This window comes from Homo sapiens, chromosome 9, assembly GCF_000001405.40.
Source record: "Homo sapiens chromosome 9, GRCh38.p14 Primary Assembly".
Lineage (NCBI taxonomy): Eukaryota > Metazoa > Chordata > Mammalia > Primates > Hominidae > Homo > Homo sapiens.
Window position 1 is genome coordinate 124,366,082 of NC_000009.12, and position 18,512 is coordinate 124,384,593.

Below are 18,512 nucleotides of genomic sequence, written 5' to 3' on the forward strand. Positions count from 1 at the left end.
AAAGGTAAAAAAATTAAAAAAAAATTTTTTTAATAGAGAAAAGCTTATAGGCCAGGCATGATGGTGCATGCCTGTAATCCCAGCACTTTGGGAGGCCAAAGCAGGAGCATCACCTGAGGTCAAGAGTTTGAGACCAGCCTGGCCAACATGGTGAAACCCCATCTCTACTAAAAATACAAAAATTAGCTGGGCGTGGTGATGCGAGCCTGCTGTCCCAGCTGCTGAGGCAGGAGAATCGCTTGAACCTGGAGGTGGAGGTTGCAATGAGCTGAGATCATGTCCTGCACTCCAACCTGGGCAAGACTCTGTCTCAAAAAACAAAGTCTATAACAAAAGAGCTTATAGACTAAGGATATAAAGAAAAATATTTTGTACAGCTGTACAATGTGCTTGTGTTTTAAGTTAAGCGTTATAAGGGTCCAAAAGTTTTTAAAATTTACAAACAAGTAAAAAGGTTACGGTAATTACCGAAATTTTTCTGTGTGTAAATTTAGTGTAGCCTAAGTGTCCAGTGTTGATAAAGTCTACAGTAGTGTACAGTAACACCCTAGGCCTTCACCTTCACTCACCACCCACTCACTGACTCACCCAGAGCAATTTCTAGTTTTGCAAGATCCATTCATGGTAAGTGCCCTAGACAGATACACCATTTTTTATCTCATACTATACATTTACAGTACCTTTTCTCCATTTATATGTTTAGATACACAAATACTTACTGCTGTGTTACAGCTGCTGACAGTATTCAGCGCAGTTAACATGCTGTACAGGCTTGCAGCCCAGGAGCAACAGGTTGCACCATAGTGTATAGGTGTGCAGAAGGCCAGACCATCTAGGTTTGTGTAAGTACATCCTATGACATTCACGTGATGACAAAATCACCTAAGGATGCATTTCTCAGAATGTGTCCCTGTCGTTAAGCAACACATAACTATAGTTCGACTTGTGCTTTTTGAAACTACGACAGGGAAGCCGTGGGGGAGGAAATGCCAAAGGCAGGAGACCAGAGAGGAGTTGATGATAATATTCTCAATGAGAGATGGTGGCGGGGCAGCAGGGCCAGGGAGGAGGATCAGCAGCAGAGCAGATGTGGGTGAGGAGGAAGCAGCAGCCAGGTGAAAGTGCAGGATGGAAAGATGTGGAGGGTGCCACCTGGACTTCTAGCCTCAGTCATAGGTGCTGACCACCCCTCTGAACAAACACAGCCTTTACACAAAGGCCTTTCATAACTTCTTGGCAATTATTTTTCTGGTGGTTGATGAGAAGACAATGGCTGACTTCTCATCAACCCACCCAAATAGAAATGATTCTATTTCCCCCCACTGCACCAGGAGGAGCTAACGCAGATACTTCTCCATGAGACCTCCAGGCATACACAGCATTCGGATAAACTCTCTGTTACTTAGGTGGGAGGAGGGGGTCTCAAAAAGGCATAAGGAAGCTTCAGGGCTCTGGAACTGATGAATATAGTCACTATATTGACTGTGGTCATGGGGGGCGGGGGAGGCAATGCTTGACAGAGGCAAAGAATTTGACAGAATAAAGATATGAATCTAGTCCTGTTACTTACCAGCGGTGTGACCTCAGTGATAAAAGTCACTCCACATTTTTAAGTTCCAATTTCCCCATCTGCAAAGGAGGACCTAAAACCCCCAAGCACCAGGATGGTCATGAGGATGATACGAAGTGTCATGCACAGGAGATGCTGGGCCACGGTGCCTGCAGTGCAGGAAATCCACAATGAATGCTAACTTCACCTGATCCTACCCATCTCCAACACTCACAAACACGATTACCAAGGCAAAAGGCTTCAGGGCTACCAATGTGATAGGCAACTGATACGAACTTAGTACTTCTTTTTCTCAACCCCCATTTAAAAGCAAATCAATTATGACAGCGGCCATCATACTGCAAATGAAATTCAACATATTGCCATAAAATCTTTGTTCATATGCACATCTTCCATGTAGAATTACCGCCATTTCGGTGAGAAGTGTAAGTACCACATTTTCATTTATTCTCTTTCACCAAAAATTATATTCTAAAAAGACACAGAAAAAGAAGGCAGACTTACTGTGTGCAGGCTCTGTGCCAAGTACCCAATTCCACACATTTACCCAAACAACGCTTTAAGGTGATTTGGTTTTTTCCACCCAAGAAAACAAAACCTCCAGTCTCCAAAAATACAAATGATACCATCAAGTCTTTAAGTAAATTTAATTTATAAATCACTTGCGGGTTTCTCTTTTTAAAGTACTTTACCTCTAAAATTATTTCACAGTTGCAAATATATTGCTTAAATTATGCTACCCTAACATTCCAACACTCATCTGGCTTGTTACATTTGGTAAAATTAAACACATCCTGATGAATTCCTCTACTACAGAATCTAGTCATCGAATCCCACGGCAAAGAGCTATCAAATTCACTGCATCAAAACTACATCCAAACATTGACATTTCCCTAAAATACATGTAATAAAACCTCTCAGCAAACAGAATCAGTCAAATTATTTTCGGCCACCCCGTATGTCAATCAAAAAGATATCATTTAATTTTCCCATCTGGCCATTTGTTGATTGTAAATCTTAACTGAAACTGACCAAGAAATCAAAAGCAATTTAATTTTCTTTGAAAGTTTCAGGACAAGAGGTAGTCAGAGACTCAGAGAGTAAACTCTTGTTATACCTGATAAGCATTTTACAAACACTGTCCTCGTAATGATCCCTTCAAGTACCAACTTCAGGCCATTTCATGAGAGTGAGTTTTACATCTTACAAACTGGGGCTACAGGGGTTACACAAGAGGCAAAAATCAATCTTCCAACCCAGGCCTCTTCAGAGCCCACGTGTGCACACTCCACCCAGCCCATTCTTACCGCTCTATCCCCTAATTCCATTCAGCTGAGTTAAAAGCCAGTGTATTTGTCAAGGAACCAAAGTTAATGAGTCTTTATGTCTTTTTAATATTCTGTTATCACCAAGGTTCTGATTCTAGAAAAACTACATTCTAACATGACAGGGTGACAATGACGGCGAGAATGACCACATTCTACAGATAAAATATTCACTGCAAATATTTTTAAAAATCTGTACCACTAGGTGGAATTTTAAAATATCTATTTAGTACAACTTCCTATCATTTCTTGGTTTCTGCACAATTTCAGGGTGAGGGGAGGGTAGTATAAATTACCTAACAGACACCCACAAGTAACATTATCTGTTAAGGTTAAAACTTTAACTACCTTCCTGAGGTATGCTGCTGGGGTCTCATTACAGCAGGTAATCTCACATTCCGCCATGCACAACACACTAAGTACCAGCATCTCCCAATTACACTGCAACATAAATCTCAAAGGACATCTGAAAAGTCTACACAGCTCCTGCACCCACTGCTGCAACACAAGCACCTCTAATGGAACGTGGCAGCTTTCTAAACTAAATATTCACATGCAGGGACAGGGATGCTAAGCTCCGGCCTTATCTCACATTGAAGAGCGGATGCTAATTAAAAGGCCACACTGACTCGGGAAATGACCGCCCAGACAACTTTAGACACTGTCTGCCATTTCCCTTCCCAGCTGTCCCAACTTCCAGGACTGCACGACTGAGAGGCAGAGCAGGGGCCCCCGTGCCTCTGGACTTAACATTCCTGTCCGGAATGGTCTCCTTCTCTTCTGCCTCCCTGTCCCACCTTTCCTCACACCCCAAGACCAAAAACAATTCATGTGAGGAGTCACATGCAATTTGAGGTGGCTTTATAGTCTCCCAGATAGAGTCCATCGGCTCCTCTTCCGCCGTACCCCTACTGCCCACTGTATGGGTACCGTTCTCGACTTTTCATGACATAGTCCCTGCTTGTGGGCCTGTGCACCCCTCTCTAGGTTGTAAAGTCACTAAGAAAGGGACCATGTCTTAAAACCAGGCACAGGCCTGATCAACAAAACTCAAGGTGAATGGCATGCAAGCCCACCCTTCACATGTCTGAAGGACCACCGTCTATCAACAGTTTACAGAGGGCTTAATGGCAACTCCAGTGGCAACACAGATCTCTTCTGGTGGCGCAGATGCCAAGAAACTTCCCCTATTACACTCTGCCTTTGCCAGTTTTGATGTGCCTTAGGAGTTTTTGAGAAAGAGCACCTTTTTTTTTTTTTTTTAAAGCTTTCACAATAGCAGAAGGTATCCAGGGTATATTTGTTCCGACCATAATCATTTGGCTATTTTTAGAACTGTTTTTACTTCAGCTAGCAAAACCTACACTTGATATAGGCTGTCATGGAAAAAAAAAAAACCTGTCATAAAGGTAGTAATGGCTTTGAAATATCTCATCCAAGCCAACTTTATTCTCATCCCTCTTAAGAATCGCCAGTCCCTTCAAATATTGGCAGTTCCGTTTATTCAGATCTTCCGATATATAAAATTTGCTGACTTTCCCCCCTTGAGTTGATATAGATACATAAAAACTGCAAAGCTTTTTTTTTCTTGGCTAGAAACAAAACTTCTCTGCCTGCCTGTGTAAAATACAGGGGCATTTTTAAATTACCATATGCTTTAGATCACAAGGTAAAAACAGTACAGTAGCAATTTAAAACCTTCCAGCCTGTGAAAGCTGACAATTAACTCAGTGAAATACGGTCCAAGCCCTCACGCCCCCCAATTCTTGTAGGCAGTGGTCTCAATTAACACCTAAATGCCCTGCATTAGAAGGTTTACCATTTTATAGTTTAGGTTAATTTACATATATCATGCAAACCTACACAGGTACTACATTTAAATATTTGGCCCCAAATATTATTTTAAACTTAATTTTCCACAGAGCTAATAAAAAGAAGAAAAATCTTTGCTAAAATTCTTCATCATGCTTCCGTGTATATTAGCAAATGTGCAGTGTGTGACTGTCTTGCACACCCATGAACCCACCACCCCCCTTTCTGATATCGCACACCACACAAGTACAATAAACCATGTGAATATTTCATACCGCTGTGAAATATGCTGGATTATCAATTCAACATCTGCTGTCTTTAGGGTCCGGGAGTCCCGCAGAGACACTTTCAATTTGTAATTGAGTTCTATGCTGAATTAATCAGCAGTTTATCTTTTTTACTAAAATAATGTCTTCACCACTAAACCAGATTTACATTAACAATTTATGCCAAATTACCTGCCAAGGCAAAACTTATAAGATTCTAAGCTACAAACCAGTAACACTCGGTCCTATATTTCATTTCTTGTATTTCTTTAACCCATATACAAGAAAGTGGAAATCCATTGTTCCAAGAGCTTGCGAAACTCTAACCACAGACGACCTCTTGGATTTCTAACAGAGCCTCACTTTTGATGGTGAAATTCGTGCTGGTTTCCTCCTCTCCCCCTGAAAGCCACTGTTCAATAAGTGGTTATGATTCCAAATTTTTACCAAATAGAATTCTAAAATGAAATAAAGTCAGTGAATAACAAAAGAGTATCTTTTATTTCTTTTCCCAATGAAAATCTTCCCATTCTAAATCTTGGCTTGGCTCAAGTAACCGAAAAAAGACAACCTAGATAAAGGAAGGATTTTTAGTGCTTATTATGTACCTGAGACCCAAGTTAGCAAAGGCAATTCAATTTGAAGAGAGCGGTGAAGTCCCATTTTCTCTTTGATATCACGACACAGAACATTTCATTAGCAATATCTTCCTTTCAATTCCACCTATACAGTTAAAAGTCTCCAAACACTTACGAATTCAACACTATCTCTGAATCTAGCTCTCACCTCTCTCTCTGATTCGTCTCTGGTCACAAGACCAGAAGTTTTTTGCTTGCTGGACTTTTGCCACAGGTGCCAGCAGACAACATACTTCGTGAAATATTTCTCCTATATGGTGTATGTCCCCCTACATTTCAGTTCTAGGAAATATGTAAAGCAAAAACATTGCTTTTTACAAAAACACTGCTTTTGTTCTAGGAAATATGTAAAGCAAAAACATTGCATATTACAAATGGAACACCTGCTCCAAAGAAATGCATCATAAATAATTACCTATCAACTACAATAGAATACCTATCCCTTCTTTTCTATCTACTTTGCCAATAGCTGCACAAGGAATTCCCACCACCATACACAACAGCCTCTCTCAGTACTGCCTCTGCATTACAGCACCAAGCCTAACAGCTGGTAATCACTTGGAACCTGATGACATTCTGCTGATGACATACTGGTTATATGAGAATATGAAATTGGGTGTTTACACAGCAGGGCAGAAGACATGACAGAATTTTCAGAAATATTTTTGGGAGAAAAATCAACAAAGTCAATAACAAAGCCAATATACCATTTGTTGATATCCTTTCATTACTCCTCTAAGAACTGGAAATAGAGACCTTCAAAATGTATATAGTCACTTTCCTAAGATTTGTTGATTCTTGAATTCCAGAGACCTGGCCCCAAGAAGGATCCATTCCAAGCTTACGGAGATTTTTGGTAAACTATGCCTTTCCTTCTCTGTTTCCTTCCATCTAACCCCCTTTTATTTCCTGAAATTAAATGGGAGTAAGTCACACTTTCTAAAATTTCCTTCAACCCTTCCCCAAAATATGCCACTTTCAACTTTGACTTTTAATAAAGGCAGAATGCAATGGCAAGGGTAGAAATGAGGACCAGCCACCACCATTAACTGGGGTTCTAAAGATAGAGAGATGAGGAAGACACAGACTTGAACAGAAGAATACACATTCAGTGGCCACTTCTAAGTCCAGGAAGACTAACGAATCCTAGAGAATCAAGAAAGAAAGAAGCAATTACTTCTAAAATTCCAAACCCTGTATGGTAGGAAGCAAAGTCCTGCTCTTGAATCAGGTGAAAGACCGCATAAAATTTATATCTGCTCTGTAAGATGCCACAAAATTCAAAAAGCAAGAAGACTGAAGAGGGCAGCCTTAACTCAAGAAGTCCCTTCCTACCTCTCCAAAGCTGGCCACCAGTGGTCTCCAATGCACAGAGCAAGCTCACTTCTTAAAAGGGGGACAACTCAAAATATCTGGTGCTGGTGGGAACCTTTCACCTTCAACAGAGTTTCTCATCATCATCTATTCTAAAGACATAATGGGTGATTTTCCGAATCACCCACTGAACCATAAATGCCAACTTCAGTAACTGTTCACTTCTAAAATTAACTGGTTAATAGCACTATTAGAAATCACTACTTAGAATAATTCCATACAGGACCCCAGGGATTGTATGTTAGGGTTCAGACATCTCTAAAACCTAACGTTTTATGCTAAATAAAGCCAGAGAGAAAATTATTGGGGAAAACTGATACATCTTTTGATCCAATAATAAAGACAATTTATTATGTCTAATGCTTCAGGTCTTAAGGAAAGCCAATAAGCAGGAATTACGACCAAAAGCAAATGACAGAAATAGCCTCAGGGGGAGCCTCTGAAAAGGCCCTTTCAATATTTAAACAAATGTACAATCATCAACCCAATTACGGCACAAATCCAGTGTATAAAGGAAGCACGTCAAATGTTTCAATTGTCCCATCTAAACGTTTCCATAGTTGCACTAGTTCTTAACAAAAAATCCATCAAAACCACAATAAGATACCAAGTCACACACACCCACCAGGATGACTACAATCCAAAGGATGATAAGTCTTGGTGACAATCAAGGATAGAGGATATATGGAAGGATATATGGAAAGGAGGACATATAGAAATCGAAACCTTCACACACTGCTAGTGGCACAGACGCTTTGGAAAACTCTGGTAGTTCCACAAAAGGTTAAACATAGAGTAACTATATGACCTGGCAATCTTGCTCCTAGAATTTCTCTTCCCAAGAGAAATCATAACATATGTCCATACAAAAACTTGTACACCAATGCTCACAGCAGCATTATAAATATAGTCAAATAGTGAAAACAATCCAAATGTCCAACTAATGAATAAGTAAAATGTGGTATGTCCATACAACAGAATACTATTTGACCATCAAAAAGAAATAAAATACTGATATATGCTACAACACGGGTGAAATATTACACAAAGTGAAAGAAGCTAGGCACAAAAGACCACATATTATATGATTACATTTACATGAAATGTCCAGAATAGGCAAGTGTACAGAGATAGTGGATTAGTTATTGCCCAGGGCTGGGAAGGTTGGGGGAAAATGGGGAGTGATGGCCAATAAGAATGGAGTTATTATTTTTTTAAGGTGCTGGAAATGTCCTAAGATTGACTGTGGTAATAGCTGTACATCTCTGTGAATACACTAAAAACCACTGAACTACACAGTTAGAACAGGTGAACTGCATAGGTGTGAATTATCAATGAAGCTGTTATTACATAGTAATAGAACTAGGTATCCCACACTTTTAGAACAGTAGACCTAAAAAAGTAGTCAAAACATCTGATTAGTTACAAGTCAATCAATAAACTCACACTTTAATATTAATTTTTTTTAAAGCTAAGACACCAGTACCATGGCTTGTGCCTGTAATTTCAGCTACTGAGGAGGCTGAGACAGTCAGATCACTGGAGGCCAGGAGTTCAAGACTAGCCTGGACAGCATAGTGAGACCGCTTATCTAAAAATTTTTTTTTAATTAGCTGAGCACGGTAGCACCCTCCTGTATTCCAGCTACTTGGGAGGCTCAGGCAGGAGGATCCCTTGAACCCAGGCATTCAAGGCTACAGTGAGTTTTAAGTGTGCCACTGCACTCCAGTCTTAGCAACACAGCAAGATCCCATCTCTAAAAAATATAAATAAATAAATAAAAGCTAGGGATTGGCCAGGCACGGTGGCTCATGCCCGTAATCCCAGCACTTTAGGAGGCTGAGGCGGCAGATCACCTGAAGTCAGGAGTTCGAGACCAGCCTGGCCAATATGGCGAAACACCATCTCTACTAAAAATACAAAAATCAGCCGGGCATGGTGGCGCACACCTGTAATCCCAGCTACTTAGGAGGCTGAGCCAGGAGAATCACTTGAACCCAGGAAGTGGAGGTTGTAGGCCAACAGAGTGAGACTCCATCTCAAAAGAAAAAAAAAAAGCTATGGATCACAATAAACAAAAATACCAGCATAAATCCTTATCCTTTTTTTCTTTCTGAGACAGGGTCTCACTCTGTCGCCCCAGGCTGAAGTGCAATGGCACAACTCACTGCAGCCTTGACTGCCCTGGCTCAAGCGATCCTCTCTCGCCTCAGCCTCCTGAGTAGCTGAGACTACAGGGATGTACCACCATACCCGGCTAATTTTTTCTGTTTTTTTTGTAGAGACAGGGTTTCGTCATGTTGCCCAGGCTGGTCTCAAACTCCTGAACTCAACCGATCCGCCCGTCTTGGCCTCCCAGCATGCTGGGATTACAGGCATGAGCCACGGCGCCTGGCCTAGCATAAATCCTTAAAAGCATTTAATGAGAAAATAATTTGGGGTCTAAATACACATTTTTCCCCCCAGACAAACGAGATACCGAAACAGATGTAACAACCAAATATAACCTTAAAACCTAAAAATCTGGAGAAGTGAGTCAAGTTCAGCTCATTAAGCTGACACCTATTAAAGCGCCATAAGAAAAACAGCCTGAAACACCATCAAAACAGATAAGAAAATCATTGTTTATAATAGTTATCGAAGGTCGAGGTTTTTTTGGTTTAATTTTGCATTTACTTAAAACTCTGTGTTTGATGCCAACAGGGTTCAAGTTGCACAGGAAGGTGCTTCGGCTAAACACGGATAGTCTTCCTTGATCTCCACTGTCTGCTGTGTGGGTTCCGCCAGCAAACCTCCCAGCGAGTGGTCACCTTCCTATGGAGTCATTAAACCTCTGAATGTCAGCTGGTGGGATTAGCCAGCAGCTTCCACACCTGAGCCCCCGTGGCAGGGACAGAGGCATTTGGATCAAGATCACTAATGAATACAGAATTCATATGCCGCTTGTCAGGGCTCCTGAGCTCAGAGTCGCACAGATGCAACCTAAATAAGACGGAGGACAGAACAATCGTTGACAAAGATTAAAAAGTTTTGGCAGTTGGGAAAAAAAGAGCACCTCATTATTCAAATATGATAGTCTTGCTTATTTTTTTTATTTTTGTTCAAGTTATTCATGATTCACCTCAAATGGACAAATGCCATTCACCAATATTTAAAGACTTCTTGGTCTCATTACTAAATCTGAAGAGGGCTGTGCTGTCTGTACATCAGCTATATGGAGAAAACAGCTCTCCTGTAAAACAGCTCTCTTGTAAATAATATTTGAAAATTTTAAGGGAATATAACAATCACAAGCTATTTAGGGTGGAGGGCAGTTTAAAAATGAAAAAAAAAATCTAGAATTAAAAGAAAAAAATGACCTTCCACAGCCAAGTGATTTTATTACATTTACTAACATCTCTATCTCTGACTTCCTTAAACTTTTCTGTTCCTGGGTTCCCTCCAATCACAGAGCTGCCAAAGAGCTTTACACACCTTGTCTGACACTTGCTTGGCTTTCTGCCGTCTTCACAAGACCTCATCAGAGAAAAGAAACAGCCCAAGCAGCCCACACCTCTGCTCACCTGGAATAAGATGTCTTTCCCAGTCTTGTTAAAGAATTACAGGAATAAGAAAGTGTTAAAGAATTAAAGGAATAAGATGTCTTTCCCTCCCTGTTGTGAAAGAATGACAAAGAGGCAGATATAGCCCAGTGGCTGAACCCATCGGAGGGCTCTAACGTCAGGCTGACCAGGGTTCAGACTCTGAGTCTTCCACTGAGTGTGTGACCTCTGGCCAGTTATTTGACCTCCCTACGGCCCAATTTTCTTCTCTACAAAATGGAGACAACAAAGTACTGACCTCAAGGAATTGCTGAAAAGTAAATGAAATAATATACCACTGTCTATGACCACCACATATGCCTGTCTCCAATATTACGCTTTCAGATAAGAAGGCCTGTATCTATCTATATCATGCTATAAATTCACCAAGCCTGATGCCAGCACAAATAATCACATTACTCGTTGCTATGCGATGTTTGTATCCTACTATTGAATAACTAAAAAAATAAAACCAGCTGCCATATTTTAGAGCCAATTTTGTGTGAGCCACCATCTAAGGTGTTTTTACAGGCCGCATCTAACGCTCACAGCAACGTGCAGGCAGGTCTCTGTTCCGATCGCACAGACAAGGATGCCCCTCTTCCCAGAGTCCTGCTGTAAGGACAGAGGAAACAGACCTGCAGCGCAATCCTCTAGCTCCCAAGCCCCATGCCCCTTTCCATGCAACCATATTGAACTCATACTATGTTCTCTTTTGGGACCATTCTATATGCCAAATAGCACAATTTTTTAATCAAAATAATGCAGATCTCTCACACTACTGTCCATCTGCAAAGCACAAATGAACCTGCAACTCAGTGTCTTCCTAATACTGGACTTACAAAAAAAACACACACACAGTTACTTCTAAGATTTGCTGTCAGAAAACCATATTGGTATCAACTCTCATTATTTAAAGTGGATCTATAGCTGCCTGCAATGACAGATTAATTCTGTTTCCTCAGTAGCTAGGTGTTTGGCATCACGCTTGTGAGGTAACCACAAGCCTTTAGGGCGATAGCTGCTCACATCTTTAGCAATCTATAAGGGCTTCTCTAGAGGCCAACACTTGCCGAGTGATGAGATATGACTCCATAAATCAGACGGCTGAAGTGGCGCTTGTATACGTCACCACCTATCTTCATAGCTTCTCTCTGAAGGGTATAGGGTAGGAGCTCATCCCTCGGTATTGCAACCAGAGAAAGGACCATCACAGTTGGCATTGACTAAGCATGTGCTACTTAAAACTGAAGACACACTAAGACTAGGGGAAAAAAAAGATCCTGCTGGTGTTAGCACGCCTCAGGCAGTGGTAGAAGCTTCAGCAACTCATCTTCAAAAGGCAGAGAGCCAGAGCTCTAGAAACCTGCAAAAATTGGCTAAGCCTGCAGTCTTCATTTCTTTAAGTTGAGCATCTTCAAAGTCTAGAATTCTAACTGTAGGGCACAGCAGCTGCCACTGCAGATCTGATCCTCTCAGCTTTTGGCAGCTCTCAACTTGAGATTCTAGCAAAAGAATTTTTCAAGTTGCTATTATTGCCTGTCATGGATTTATAAATATTGTGCACTATCTGCTGTGGCATGGCTCTCATGGGACGCCAGAGCATGCCAAATGCATAACAGAATGAAAAACAGTTTCTATTCTTCAAATAAATGCTAATTTTTTTTAACTGTGCTCACACGATGTGTTTGGTGACCAACTTCAATAGTACAGAATATGTATCAGAGAGGGGGGAAAAAAGCTGATTGTCTTTTCCAGCAGCATTCAGCTGCTACTTTCATTAAGCTTGTTTAATTAGATTCCAGATGCTAATTTGCAAGTCGATACCAGAGGGTGCAGGACAGTTTGCCTTTGAATCATCTCCCTGTGATGTGAGGGTCCTGCGCACACCACTACCCTTCAGCAGCCCTCGCAAGATATTCTGACAATTAGTGCAAAGAGGGGGCAGTATTGATCTTGACAGACTAAATATTAATCTTCTACCCATTTTAATGAATTGTAATCTCCAAGAGTTTAAATTTCTCACTAGGCCAAATGAAAACATCCCTTCTTACAAAGAAATAGAATAGAAGGAAAACTAACCTACATTATCGGATTCATTTAATTCTCTCTCCCCCTTAAATAAAACCCATGTTTCATTTTAGCAATTTTAGCAATTTTCAAGATACATATCTGCCAAGCTAATGCCATATTTCCAGGTATCATGATCAAACTCCTTATTTTTAACTGGAAAATGGACTGAAAATGCCCCAGCATGGTTATCACTAGTTTTCCTGTCCAGCTAAGCTAGCCTGTGGGTAAGAACCAGGACCAGGAGCTGAATTCTTATACCAGCCTTAACAATAGAGAAGAAAAAATCTGGGGGAATGCTCTGAGCAATTCATCATCACCAAAAAAACCTCTCATATAACTGACCCCTTGTCATCAGGTCAACTTACACATTTCAAAATCCCCTATTCTGGTAATACATTGGTACAGTGTCTGAATAAGCACCTTCACTGATAAAAATAAAGCACGAGATTTATCACCAGTAAGTAATACAATTTTTATACCTTCATTTCCATCACAGCTAAGTAGTGTGAACACTAAAGGTGAAATTATCAAACTGTTTCAAAGGAAGGTTACTCTCAGAATCACTAAGTAAAGTTGTGTTTAACACCTTTTTATCCACCCATTCAACACACACTGGCTGAATACCTACTATGCCCCAGTCACCATGCTAGGGCAAGGGAATAGAAACGACCAGGTGTACGCACAGTCCCTGCCCGAGAAGAATTCAGGCTCACAGCAAGGGAACAAACAAAAAAATGAAAATTAGAAGACCACTCAAGGTAGCGTTTAGGCCAAAACTGGGTGAGACTTTTTGAAGATTTTTAATGTGCCCTAAACTCACTTGGTTAGTTGAAACTCAGGAACTGAGGACTTTTACTTGAGGCAAGTCATAGCTCAGATAACTTAAAACAGCAGAAGCCCATCTTGGGCGTTTACGAATCCCAGCTGGGTTTCACTCTTCTGCTTTTTCGGCCTATAATTTCCCAATGAGCATTTGCCCTTTGCCCCATCTTCATTTTCCCTGTGTCCTTAATGGGGTGTTTGGTTTGCTGACTCTGTGCCCCAATACTGCACGCTGTTTGAGAAGTGTACTGGTTATCGTCCTCTGTTACCTTGAAAAGATGTTCAGCACTTTCTAGATAAAAAGAAAAGGTCCCTTCCATTTCCCAGGTGGTTTTGATAACTCAGACTAAGCTCAGGGTTATCCTACTGTCTCAAGGCAACAGACACATACTGAACCTCAGGAGCTAAGAACAGAGATGACTTCATGGCCCCTGCCCTCAAGGAGCTCCCTCTCTCACTGGCATGGAGGAGATGCCTCTGAAAACAGCCAGAAAACAACAGGACAGGTGTGTACAGTGCAGCACAGGGACACAAATAAATGAAGCAGCAACAGGGTACTGCTGGTGGGCACCAGTGGTAAGGAGTCCACGGCGAGCCAGTGCACGCTATATTCAAAGAACAGTGAGCAGACAAGAATGGCCAAAGGGAACTATGTTCCCCCAAAGTTTAATCCCTGGACTTACATGTGATGGTGATATATGAACCATTTTTATTTCTATCAATAGTATGTACCCACTTTCATGTGTCTTGAAAAATATAGGCTGGCCATGGTGGCTCATCTGAGCCCAGGAGTTTGAGACCATCCTGGGCAACATAGTGAGACCTCATCTCTACTAAAATTCAAAAAAATCTGCCAAGCGTGGTGGTACACAACTATAGTCCCAGCTACTTGGGAGGCAGAGGCGAGAAGATCACTTGAGCCTGGGAAGTCGAGGCTGCAGTGAGCCCTGGTCATGCCACTGCACTCCAGCCTGGGCAACAGAGCAAGATCCTGTCTTAAAAAGAGAAAAAGAAAAGAAAAATAGAACCAGTACATCAAACCCAGGATTTCAGATATAAACTGTATTTTAAAAATAAATTTAAGTTAAAAAGGTGAATCAAAGTGGTTGCTGGAAACATGGAGAATGGAACTGCCTGGAAAGGAGCCCTCGGGGGTAAAGGAAACGTTCTCTATCTTCATTTGAGTGCCAAAACCCATTGAACTCTACACTCAAGATCTGTGCACTTTATTATATGTAAATTATACCTTAATTTGAGTTAATTTAAATTTTCAAAAAAATTAATAGAGCAGGTGGCACCTGGATATGGCAGAAACCTTAAATGTAGTGTGTAAATGACAAGTTCAAAACGCAGTGATAGGCTGGCCCTGCCCAATAGATGTTCTGGTAGTTATGGTTTAAAAAATAGAATTAGATGATATTTTATTAATATTTTTATTTAGCCAATATACTTGAAACAGTACCATTTAACATATAATCAGTATAAAATTTATTGAGGTGTTTTAAAAGCTTCTTGTATTAAGTCTCTGAAACCTGGTGTGCGTTTTCCACTTACAGACCCTCTCAACTGACATTTCAAACGCTCGATAACCACGTAAGGTTAGCGCTGGACAGTGCAGCTAGAGATGACGGGAACACAAGACAGGTTTTTAAGGAGGGAGGAACTTGTATTCCATAAATACTATAGTCCAAAGGCCCAGCACTATCCAAAGTACAGGTTTGGAGATCAGGAAACAGAAAGACTTTGGGCTTCCTCTAATTTGTTATTTGTTTTAACGATAAAGCCAAGAGTTTATTTCATAAGTCTGGCCTAAAAATTACTGTTGGTTGAACAATTTGTTATTACAACAGCCTAAAACTGCCACTTTGCAAAGCAATTCTCTGTGAGTGAGTGGCAGTTACTGTCCTGGCAACCCATTCGAGGTGTGAAAGGCAGCAGTGCTATTCTCCTGGCTTTCTGTCTGAGACACATCTTTCCACACTGAAAGGAAACAGCAGGCTTAGTCACCCAATTCTGTGGTCTCTAATTAGGCAAGAAAAGTTATCCAGGGCTTTTTGACACAGAAAGAAAGTCTCCCTGGAAAGAAGGAAAATTAAAAGTTTGGAAATTTTAAACCAAACTGCCTTTGTTGTTATGAGTTCTATACAGACGCAGAACCAGAAATGACAGACACTTTGGCTGAATCTAAAATGGTGGCCTCTCAACTCTGCTAGGCAGTCTCAGCCTTCATTTAATATTCACCAAAAGCAAACAGTGTGGTTAGCACAGTTAGTGGCTTGGTCTTCACAATAAATGTTTCCTACTATTAACATCTCTTTAGATTTTTAAACAATTAATCTGCTGACAGCTGTTATTCTATTATGTGCCTTCTGTTTACTTTTAAACTCAACCACTAAAGAAGAAGGTACCACCTTCACCTTAATAAAGTGATTTTCAGCCGGGCATGGTGGCTCACACCTGTAATCCCAGCCTTTGGGAGGCCAAGGTAGGCAGACTGCTTGAGCTCAGGAGTTCCAGACCCACCTGGGCAGCATGGTGAAACCCAGTCTCTACAAGAATTGCTTGAACCCAGGAGGCAGAGGTTGCAGTGAGCCGAGATCATGCCACCGCACTCCAGCCTGGATGACAGAGTGAGACTCTGTCTCTCTCTCTTTTCTCTTTTTTTTTTTTTTTTTTTTTTTTTGAGACAAAGTCTGGCTCTGTCACCCAGGCTGGAATGCAGTGGTATGATCTCGGCTCACTGCAACCTCTGCCTCCCAGGTTCAAGTGATTCTCCTTCCTCAGCCTCCCGAGTAGCTGGGATTACAGGCGCCCGGTACCACGTCCGGCTAATTTTTTGTATTTTTAGTAGAGACAGGTTTCACCATGTTGGTCAGGCTGGTCTCGAACTCCTGACCTCAAGTGATCCACCCGCCTCAGCCTCCCAAAGTGTTGGGATTATAGGCATGAGCCGCTGCGCCCAGTCGAGACTCTGTCTCTAAAATAAATAAAGTGATTTTCACTGATTGTCAGTGTGCATGTGGTTTCAATAACAAGTGAATAAAGACCAGTAACCTAAAATTGTCCATTTAAATAATCAATGTGAAATAAGAATATGGCCAATCTGTTTCAAGGTCTCACAGCTAATGCTCCCAAGTTATGGACACAACTGATCTAAGAAACATTCTTCAGATTGATAATATCAATTTTATCGAAAGGATGCTGACATTCCCCTTTACTTCCCAAAATCACATCAAATATTGAATTCACAGCCTTTGAACCATTTCAAATCCAAACTCTAAATAAGGTAAAATTACTTTGGTGGAGTGTTAAAGTCACTTCTAATGTACCTCATACTCTCAACTTTTCCTACAATTCTCATTTTTCTTTAACATACGGAAGTCCCAATCAACTGGAGATAGACAAAGCTTTCAGGAAGATTTGAAAAGATTAATGTGTTTTAAAGAAGGGTTTGGCATTACTGAGGTGATTTTCTAAACAAAACTCAAGAGTACGCCTCCTTGTACCTCTGTGAGTTCTAATGGATGCGTAGAACCTTAGGAACTCCTCTCCTATAGTTAGAAAACTGGGGAACTTTTTTTCTTTTCTTTTTCAAGTGACCTACTATTAATATATCCTATTTTTTCTCTGTATTTAAGAAGGCCAAATAGAAAATAATGCTGATATGGGAGTAACTGTTCACATTGAGAAATGAGAACAGAATCCCAATCTCATTTATTGTCTATACTTGGACCTGTTTACTATTCTTAATTGGAACAAGACATTATCATTTTTAGTGTAAAACACCTAAATTCTATACACTATGTTTTAATTCCTGCAGCTATCCGAGAAGCGAAGAAATCTTGCCAAGTGACCAAGTCACTTATGTGAGCTATCCCCATGTACCGAGGGTAGGTATCGCAGTTTCCAGCAGAAAACCCCTATCTGTCCTGGCTGATCAGTATCTTTAATCCTACTTTCTCTGGCTTTGACAGCACTTGGTCCAAACCTAAAGGGCAGAGAGAGCTTCAGAGTTCCAATGACACTTGGTGCTCCAATGACAATGAGATGACGGAAGAACAAAATATTTTTAATAAGCAATCTTTTCCAAAGATGACTGGACATAAGGCACTGTCAAAAAGCAATTCCCAGAGACACCCTCTGGTCCCTAAACAATACTGCGAAGTCAGAAATGGCAAAAACCTACATACTAAGAAATAGGGTAAACCACTCATAAACTACCTATTAATTGTTGAAAAGAAGTTGATACTCCCCATCAAAAAATTAACAACCATCAAAAAAGCTTATGTGCCGAATGCTGGTTTAGCGGCCAGATGTAGTGCCGTGGAGGAGTAACGTGGTACCATGATGGATCCAGGCATATTCAACATTCCTGCGACAGTGACCATGGAAGAGCTGTGCATTTGTCCTGAAGATGTAGGGGGTGGCGGGGTGGAGACAATCTATCATTAAAGTAGACTTAAGTGGAGTATCATTCAGAAGATACCACCTTCCCCCACCACCAAAGAAAACACAATAAAAGAATCTCTCATACATGTATCTGAGACACTAGATCATTACGCTCTGAGATGAATCCCCCACATGTGTGGTCTTGTCCCCATCTTCTGCCAGATGCAGAATCATCTACAGGGATTTTTAAAACTGCCTCCATTTTCAGGTCACGTCTCTGTAACATGCAAAGACATACACAGTTTTTCTGTTCTTAGTAAGAACAGAAAAACCTGTCATTTTGAGATATCGTGACACAGAAAGCTTGGTGCGCAAGAAAACATTCCACGTTACCACCGCATTTACAGTCAAGAAGATTCCTAGACAGCCCAAAGCCCAGAGCAAAAAGCTGGATAGCGCTGGTGCCTCAAGCCCAAGGAAGGGCACAGCTGGGCCACTACAAAAGGAAGCTGGTCTCTTCGGCAAACAGACCATCTGTGCCAAAGAACATTCCAACTAACAACAGTGCTGTACAAGCTCGGGAGGAATCAGCAATCAATTTGTAAATGTTCAAGATAAAACCAGAAAAATCTTTGAAAAAGAATAAAACTGCAGGGACTTAC

General features: G+C 41.0%; 1 protein-coding gene and 1 long non-coding RNA gene across 2 annotated transcripts in view; both read right to left on the bottom strand.

Annotated features, from left to right (window-relative positions):
• PSMB7 (proteasome 20S subunit beta 7) overlaps positions 1 to 18,512 on the bottom strand; it is a 61,978-nt gene that overhangs the window by 12,617 nt on the left and 30,849 nt on the right. The window lies entirely within an intron of this gene.
• Positions 9,590 to 18,510, bottom strand: LOC124902267 (uncharacterized). The gene is made up of 2 exons (XR_007061764.1): positions 17,996 to 18,510; positions 9,590 to 17,869 (listed from the first exon to the last, which is right to left on the bottom strand). It is a non-coding gene; the product is annotated as an uncharacterized LOC124902267 (long non-coding RNA).